Here is a 6,240-nt window from a genome sequence, read left to right on the forward strand (position 1 = left end):
AGAAAACAAAGGCAAAGTTTCATACCTGGAAGGCTTCGTGCACCAGCGCCCACCTCCGGAAACCACAGTTGCAAATATTCTTTTGTGACCTAATTTTGGTTCTAGGTTTCCTTTCCTCTGTATGTGTTTGCTACATTCCATTCCCTATGCAATAGAGTTTTTCTGTAAAGAAGTTTCCAAGTATAACCTTCCATGAAGCTCCTCAATTTTAAGAATTTATAATTTTCCAGTCCTAGTGCTTAACTCATCCATCATTTGTTTTCCCTCATATTTTACCTGTTTGGTTGCACTCAAAGTCTTCGTTGATGGATGAAACCTGATGGTTTTTAAGAAGCAGAAAATACCAGTTTTGTCCTCACTGATTGATTTTTCTTGACAGATCACGAGTATAATTTATACCAGCTCAGTGGCACTAATCTTGTTTTGTTGTTGTTCTTAAAACAGCTTTGACAATAAGCTGCTACTCTGACTTTGATTCTTAAGTCAGCATTAATGAAACACCATTCATTTGTGTTATCAGCTGTAATAGTCAAAAACAGGTTTAAGACTTTACCATGCTTGCTTTCAAGTTTTGGGTGGATTTCTTTTTCCTCCAATGCTTAAAAGGTTTAGTAAGTGAATGTCAGGTCAAATGGGCGTAGCTGAGTTTCTCCCAGGCACGCTGGCTTTCCTGTGGATGTTTTTGTCACAGCAGTCTAAGTGTATGTCTTTCTGGCCCGGTCAGGGAACTTTGCTGTGGGGATTTGGTTTAAATTCATGTTTAATCTCCTAATTTTATTTTTGTGGCTATAGTGCCTCACCGAGTATACTGAGGCTGAGACTGGACAGAAAGACCTTTTTTCTGATAAGCTCTTAATCTGTATCAGGCTCAGCCAAAATGAGTTCTGTTAGGGCTGCTATTTTTAGCTATGTGTAATAGCTATTGTGGTCTCACAATACACTTGTTTATACACAGAATATGGTTTTATGCACAGAATTTTGTGTATTAAAATAATAGGCAAAATGATTACAAATAATTTCAGGTGTGCCTTGATACAAATCAGATCTGTATACTTGTGTTTTCCTGTTGACATCTGTCATTTGCAGTCAGTGGCTTAAATTAAAATTTTTTGGTCTTAGGGAAAATCATGTGAGGGTTTCCCTGTTGCCTCTCTCGGGCAGAGCTTCTCAGCCTTGACACTATTGACGTTTTAGACCAGACACCTCTTTGCTGTAGGGGGTGTCCCGCGCATCGTAAGAGGTTTAGCAGCACCCAGGGCTCTACGTACTAGATGCTAGTGCCTCCCCTCCCCCACTCTCAGTTGTGACAATCAAAAATGTCTCCAGACCTTGCCAGATGTCCCTTGGGGATATAGGGCTGCCAGAGTTAACAAATGAAAACACAGCGTGCCTAGTTAAATTTGAATTTCAGATAAACCATACAAATTGTTTTTATTGTGGTAAAATGCACAGAATATAAGACTTACCATTTTAGCCATTTTTAAGTGGCTAAAATTTGTAAGTGGTCAGTGTCATTAAGGACATTCACATTGTTGTGCAAACATCATCACCATTCATCTCCAGAACTTTCTTATCTTTGCTAGCTGAAACTCTGTCCCCATTAAACACTAAGTCCCCATCCTCCCCTCTCCCAGCCCCTGGCAACCTCCGTTCTCCTTTCTGGCTCTATGCATTTGACTCTTCTGGGTATCTCATGTAAGTAGAATCATACAGTATTTGCCCTTTTGTGTCTGTCTTATTTCACTTAGTGTAACGTCCTTAAGGTTTGTCTGTGTTGCAGCGCATGTCAGAACTTCCTTCCTTCTTAAGGCTGAATAACATTCCACTGTGTGAATGAACCACATCTCCTTCATCCGTTCATCCATAGATGGACATTTGGGTTGCTTCCCGCATTTGGCTATTGTGAACGATGCTGCTATGACCACTGGTGCATAGGAATAATTTTTTAGTGTAAATATGTCCCATGTAATTTTAGTACATACTTTTATACTAAAAAATTATTCATTGTTTATCTGATGTTCAAGTTAACTGGGCAAGTTGTGTTTTATTTTATTGGGTAATGCTACCTGGTTGAGAACCACTGCCCTAGGACTGAACTGCTATTTTTTTTTTTTTTTTTTTGAGATGGAGTCTTACTCTGTCACCCAGGCTGGAGTGCAGTGGCGTGATCTCGGCTCACTGCAGCCTCCACCTCCTGGGTTCAAGCGATTCCCCTGCCTCAGCCTCCCAAGTAGCTGGGACTACAGGCATGCGCCACCAAGCCTGGCTAATTTTTTTTTTTTTTTGTATTTTAGTAGAGACGGGGTTTCACCATGTGGGCCAGGGTAGTCTCAATCTCCTGACCTCGTGATCTGCCCGCCTCGGCCTCCCAAAGTGCTGGGATTATAGGCGTGAGCCACTGCACCCGGCCAGCTGGACTGCTTTCTTTGCTTGGGCACTGGCTCAGGGCTCCAAGGACCGTGGTCATACCTTCCCATGCAACTTACATATGACTTCCAAGACTTCCAGCACAGTGAAGAGCACATGGAAAAATGTGGGCACCATAACATCTACATACCCTAAATGTGTCAGTCAGCTTCAATTTGTTCTCAGTTTGGGAAGGGTGATAGAGATACTGACCCTTCCTTTTGACCTGCCTCTTTTCCATTTTATTCTGGTAAATTCACGCTTATTACAGCACTTACAGAGCAAATCATATTATGATTATAATTTTATGATATCATACTTTTATATTATGAATATATTTATAATATGTGAAATGATTGGATTCTTCAAAAAGTCAACTTAAAGAAACAAGTTGGGATCCTCACTGGCTACTTGTGTCCTATTTCAAATTATTTCTATTTGCCCTTTCTGCTCCTCTCCCCAGCTTTATTGAGGTATGCTGGACAAATAAAAATTTTAAGTATTTACAGTATAAAATGTGATGATTTGATGTATGCATATGTTGTGTAATGATTACCACAATCCAGCTAACTAACATGTCTATCACCTCACTAGTTACCTTTTTTTTTTTTTTTTTTTGGAGTGTGATGAGAACCCTTGAGATCTACTCTTTGGGCAGTTTTCAAGTATATGACACATTGTTATTACATAGAGTCACCATGCTCTGCAATAGATCTCCAGAATTTATTCATCTTGCATAACTGAAACTTTTTACCCTTTGATCACCATCTGCCTTTTTGCTTTTTCTATCACTCAGAGAAAGCCAGTTAGTGGATAATTTCTACATGATTGAGGTTAATAGAATGCGGCCACCTAAAACTGTCCCTGAGGCTTGGGAATTTGGGTGAATCCTGATTCTGCCATGCACTTTGGGCAAGTCACATACCTTCAGTCTCAGTTTCCTCATCCGTGACTAAAGAATAGCATGAATGCCTTCTCCATGGAATCACCATGAGAGGTAAAGGAAATATTGCACTTACAGCTCCTGCTATGAAATATCTAGCATCTGACAGACATGCACCTTGTCTTAGATGTCGAGCTGCAGAGCAGTTTTCATGGCAGAAAGAGAGCAATAGTTGCTAACACGTATGAACTGCTTACTGTGTTCCAGGTACTAGTCTCCAGTTTTTACTTGTATTGTTGCATTTAATCCTCACACTGAGCCCACGAAGCTTGTCCTAACATTATTCCCTTTCACAGATGAAGAATGTGAGGCACAGATAAGGTACATTCATCCAAGGGGGTATGTCTGGCAAGCAGCAGAGCAGGGCTTGGCATTGGGACATCCTGATTCCAGTGGGAATAGTTGTCCTAACCACTTGGCTAGATGGCTGCCTGTGGGGTGGTGCTTCTGGATGGAACACAGGGTGCACAGTGATGCATTTGGGAATCACTGAGGCAGGAGAGTGACCCCACCCAGCCCTCCAGGCCAGCCAGGATAACCCTGGAGGGCTGGAGGGGGACACGTCCTGGTGAGTGCACCCTCCCTCTGGGTTCCAGGTGAGATACCCTTCCAGCTGGCCTTTTGAGCCCAGCTCCCCCAGGAAGGAAGGATGCTCTCCAGCAGGCGCTCCTCAGAGCACCTTCTGTGTTTTCACCTCACTTAGAAAATTCAACCTCTAAACATCATTGAGTGGCACTGAGAACTAAAGCCACAAACTCCCAACTTGAGAAAATGCAATATTTATACATTTAAAACAGCCAAAATGGTTTTAACATACCTATACTGATTCAAAAAAGAAGTCTGAGCCAGGCGTGGTGGCTCACGCCTGCAATCCCAGCACTGTGGGAGGCCGAGGCGGGCAGATCATGAGGTCAGGACATTAAGACCATCCTGGCTAACATGGTGAAACCCCGTCTCTACTAAAAACACACACACAAAAAAAAAGTTAGCTGGGTGTGGTGGCATGCGTCTGTAATCCCAGCTACTCTGGAGGCTGAGGCAGGAGAATCGTTTGAACTGGGGAGGCAGAGGTTGCAGTGAGTCAAGATCACGCCACTGCACTCCAGCCTACGCAACAGAGCAAGACTCTGTCTCAAAAACAAAACAAAAAAAACCAAAAAAAAAAACAAAAAGAAAAAGAAATCCGTTTTCGCTGAGCCCTCCTGGCAGGTAGTAAAATCTTGGACTTGAGCTCCCTGGGGCCCTGTCCAGTTGCCCTCAGTGCCCTCCCTTCCAGCTTACCCATTTACCAGGTGTTCGAGGCTGCTGCCAGTTTAAATTTTGTTTCAAAAACTGGCCTTCTCTTTCTTTTTATTCTGCAACATTTTGCCTTGGGGCCTAGAAAGGAATCCTTAGTCACTGATTGCCGTAGGCGGATATTACCTCACCCAGTATGGGCTTCCACGCTAAAGACCTCTCACAAACACTTGCACACTTTCAGACTCACCCTGCACAAGGCACGCTGACGCTGTTTCCTAGGGCTTATTCCCAAGAACACGTCTCTGCTGAGACTTGGTTTTTGTTAGGATGTGTGTGATTCCATGTGTTCCATCATGCAGAGGAGATGCTGAAAGTTAGCGCTGTGGCTTTCAAGATCCTCCTGTGGCGCCTTTGTATATGGCATAGAATGGTGCCAACTGGAGTAGCCTGAGAACCAGAAACAAGAATTCTGCTTCTGAACAGCTTCGTTTTTGGGCCAGAGAATTGTTTCCACCAGAGGAGGCGTGATGGGAGCTTAGGGGCTATGTGCTCGGTTTCTGAAGTTGTACAACGGAGCATTCATTTGCATTCATTTGACAAGTCCTGCTGTGTTCCTTTACTTGTTCTCTTCTGTATTATGGGCTTAAGGGTCGCTTATTTCAACATCGCTATATTTTCCCTGAAAGCTCAGTAATGATTGAATCACAGAATTTAAAGAGCTTGTCGTATAAATACATCTAAAGTGAAAAAGATGAACTTTTTCCCCAGTGAATACAGGCAACCATCAATCAAAGGAATGCATCCTGGAAAAGAAAGGCACAGGGTAAAGCCTGCCTCCTTTGCGGGTCCCATCTGTTCTTGGGAGGACAGTCCCCATGTATTGCTCCTGGGCCCTTTGTGGCCGAGCACGAACAGCTGTACATACAAAGGAGGCTGTGTGTTTGTTCATGATGTTGGAACCGGAAGTGGAAGGGGCTTTCTTGTCAAAGAAGGCACATATGAGTGCCATAGTTACGGGACAAAAATATTTCTCCTGGAAAATCTATTGAAGCCTTTGTGCGATGTTCAGCAGAGTGTGTTGGGGGTGGGTGTGAATGTATCTGTGTGGGTGAAATGAGGATAATGTGGTCATGTGAACAATTCAAGGCAAGAAAAGATCCGGTGATACTGAGAATCCTGATTCTCCTTTAGAGATAGGAGTTCTCTGGCTATTCTGAAGAGTGAAGTTACTGCCCATGATGTTGCAACATATGGACATTTGCAACAATTTTTTTTTTTTTTTTGAGATGGAGTCTCACTCTGTCGCCCAGGCTGGAGTGCAGTGGCATGATCTCTGCTCACTGCAACCTCCACCTCCCGGGTTCACGCCATTCTCCTGCCTCAGCCTCCTGAGTAGCTGGGATTACAGGCGCCTGCCACCATGCCTGGCTAATTTTTTGTATTTTTAGTAGAGACGGGGTTTCACCATGTTAGCCAGGCTGGTCTCGATCTCCTGACCTCGTGATCTGCCTGCCTTGGCCTCCCAAAGTGCTGGGATTACAGGCGTGAGTCACTGCGCCCGGCCTTTTTTTTTTTTTTTTTAAATGATTCTTTTGTTCCAGTTATTGACCTAGCACCAGCATTTGTCTTATGGATAAGGTGAGGGCAAAATT

At 43.4% G+C, this 6,240-nt stretch overlaps 1 protein-coding gene and 1 long non-coding RNA gene across 10 annotated transcripts in view; both read left to right on the forward strand.

The window, feature by feature from the left end:
* The window catches only part of TSNAX-DISC1 (TSNAX-DISC1 readthrough (NMD candidate)), a 512,620-nt gene that overhangs the window by 390,151 nt on the left and 116,229 nt on the right, over positions 1 to 6,240 (forward strand). The gene's annotated exons all lie outside the window — the stretch shown is intronic.
* DISC1 (DISC1 scaffold protein) overlaps positions 1 to 6,240 on the forward strand; it is a 414,483-nt gene that overhangs the window by 292,014 nt on the left and 116,229 nt on the right. The gene's annotated exons all lie outside the window — the stretch shown is intronic.

The sequence above is a fragment of the Homo sapiens genome, chromosome 1 (genome assembly GCF_000001405.40).
Source record: "Homo sapiens chromosome 1, GRCh38.p14 Primary Assembly".
NCBI lineage: Eukaryota > Metazoa > Chordata > Mammalia > Primates > Hominidae > Homo > Homo sapiens.